Consider the following 2,620-nt stretch of genomic DNA (forward strand, 5'->3'; position numbering starts at 1 on the left):
AAAACTTAATATGGGAGCCAGTGCCTTATCATCTGAGGAATGATAGAGGATGTTCCTATAAGGTTTGCCCTCATAAATCTGCATCTGTCTAGCAAGGTGAGGGGTAACCTAGTAGCATATGGGCTCACCTTGTGTCCAGGAACAAATCAACTTGTCTTGATCATAACCTAACGTAAAAAGCCAGACTTATATGCAGAATTCATTTCTCTGTTTACTTTCAAATGTTGGCACACTATGTATGTACCCCAAAAGATACTGGGAATTCACAAAAACCCAAATATACAGTTTGGTAAAGACAATCTACTTTTACCCAGTTAAAGATACTTCGCCACTTCTTGAGAGTAAAAACAATAAGAATAAAACTTCAAAAGAAAATAATTAACTGTAAAGCCTATTTTCCTGTTTGTGCTTTTTACTTTAGATTATTATTTATTTAAACACTAAAGAGGAATTTCTAAAGTAATGTCTATAAGGAAGCAAATGAATTTAGCCAATACTTTATGTGCCTGATTCAACATGTTGGTTAAGTTTTAATTTTACAAGTACAGTTGGCTCACTAAAGCCATTACATTCTTTGTATCTGAGTTGACTGTACACTACACAACAAATTTCTTACTATATCATCTAGATGTCATTTAGGGGAGTTTAAATAATCCACAGGTAATACAACTTCTAAGTGAAACAATGTCTTTATTTTTCAGACTTGACAGTAGCCTTAGTGAAAAAGTACTGTGAAAGTTTTCAAGTGTTAGAGAGAAAGTGGAAGTGGGTGCTTGGTATAAATGTGCCACTCTGTCCCCAGTGCCAAGGGCCCTGTGGTGAAGCTCTTCACAGAGGAAGTTTAGCTCTTCCACAGAGGTGCAAGGAGCTAGCTACCCACTTGATCGTCCTTCTTCCCAACCTTACAAAGGGAACATTCCAATTATCTGACTGAAAAGTGAGAAAAGGAAGAAAATGGAAGAAAAATCTGTTACTTTTCAACCATACAACTTCATATTTTTAAAGTCAGTAGGGGCCAGGCATGGTGGCTCACGCCAGTAATCCCGGCACTTTGTGAGGCTGAGGTAGGCAGATCACTTGAGGTCAAAAGTTTGAGACCACCCTGGCCAACATGTTGAAACCTAATTTCTACTAAAAAACACAAAAATTAACCAAGGATGGTGATATGCAGCTGTAATCCCAGCTACTCAGTAGGCTGAGGCAGGCGAATCGTTTGAACCCAAGAGGTCACACCACTGCACTCGAGCCTGACTCCGTCTCAAAGAAAAGAAAAACATCAGTAGGATTGAAGTATGAAAAGAGCCAGGGTTTTAAATGATAGCTTCTCTCACACAAGAGTGAAGGGAATAGGTTAAGAACCTCTCCCCTACTTTAACACTCTATTTTAAGCATCTTAAAAAATATTACTTTCTTTGCTATCCTTGACTTTAATAAATCATAAAATGAGACTAAAACATGACCCATTCTATTGGGCCTTCAAAAAACCCATATTTTGTTATTGGACATTTTGTATTCAATTAGAGAATCTTTACTGAACATCTCCAGGATGGCTAGTCCTGATCTAGATCCCCAAGTTCTTTAAATAGTGGAGAGGAGCTCAGGCTCTGCTTTAATGAGGGTTTTTGTCAAGAAAAGTAGGTTATACAATGGAAAACAACAACCAACATCTCAGAGACTTAACAGAACAAAAGTTAATTTCTTGCTTGTACTACCTGTCCACAAGGTTTGGCAGGAGTCTTTCTTTCTTTGTTCACTGTAGTCACTCAGAGATCAGCTATCCATCTGCCCCCAGGATCATGTGGCAGGGAATAGGTCGCTTGGTGAATCATACCCGGGCTTTTAACCCTGCCACCCAGAAGTCACACATCACTTGCGTTCACATTTCATTGGGCCAAGCAAGCGTGATGGTGGAACTATTCAGGCTTGAATAGAGAACAACAAAGCCACATCGTTAAACCAGATGGTGGTGGTCAAAGTTCATGGTTGGGTTATCAAGCCATGGTTAGAAACACAGCTGCCGATATCTGGGGCTGTAACAACTGCAGGTCTAATGATCCAAGGCCAGGAACAAAGATTAAGGGAGCACTCTAGGGATGGGAGAACCCATGGTGAGACTTAGCTGCATTGTAACAGAACAGACTTAGAGAGGCAGATAGCAGAGCCTCCCTACAGTATCTAGAATGTGCATCTAGAAGCTTTCCATGCTCACTTCCTGTTTCCCCTGGTATTTATTCAAATGTCAATTACAAAGAACACAAAATGTCTAGTACTTTATAGCCTCCTTATGTTTAGGTTTCACTCCTGACCTCAAAGACCTTAAAACTAAGTAGATTCTGAATTTTTCAAATTATTTCAGGGTATTGCAACAATGGACATTTTATTTGATTGTATACTTATTTTTCTACTGGAAACTGTACTTGAAAACAGTTAACTAAACATCTATTTACCCTCTCACAGTAAAATTTCTATGGCTATTGTTCTGGAGGTGGAGTGGCTAATATTTACTGAGCCCTTTCTCTCTGCTAGACATTTGATAGGCATTGTAATACAGTAGTGGCCCTTTATCTACAGAAGATACATTCCAAGACTCCCAGTGGATACTGAAACCTTGAATAGTACC

At 39.1% G+C, this 2,620-nt stretch overlaps 1 long non-coding RNA gene across 1 annotated transcript; it reads right to left on the reverse strand.

Annotated features, from left to right (window-relative positions):
• Positions 1 to 670: 670 nt before the first annotated feature.
• LOC124904478 (uncharacterized) lies at positions 671 to 1,815 on the reverse strand. Its single transcript, XR_007066781.1, has 2 exons — positions 1,713 to 1,815; positions 671 to 930 (listed from the first exon to the last, which is right to left on the reverse strand). It is a non-coding gene; the product is annotated as an uncharacterized LOC124904478 (long non-coding RNA).
• Positions 1,816 to 2,620: the final 805 nt, after the last annotated feature.

Source organism: Homo sapiens, chromosome 1 (assembly GCF_000001405.40).
Source record: "Homo sapiens chromosome 1, GRCh38.p14 Primary Assembly".
Classification (NCBI taxonomy): domain Eukaryota; kingdom Metazoa; phylum Chordata; class Mammalia; order Primates; family Hominidae; genus Homo; species Homo sapiens.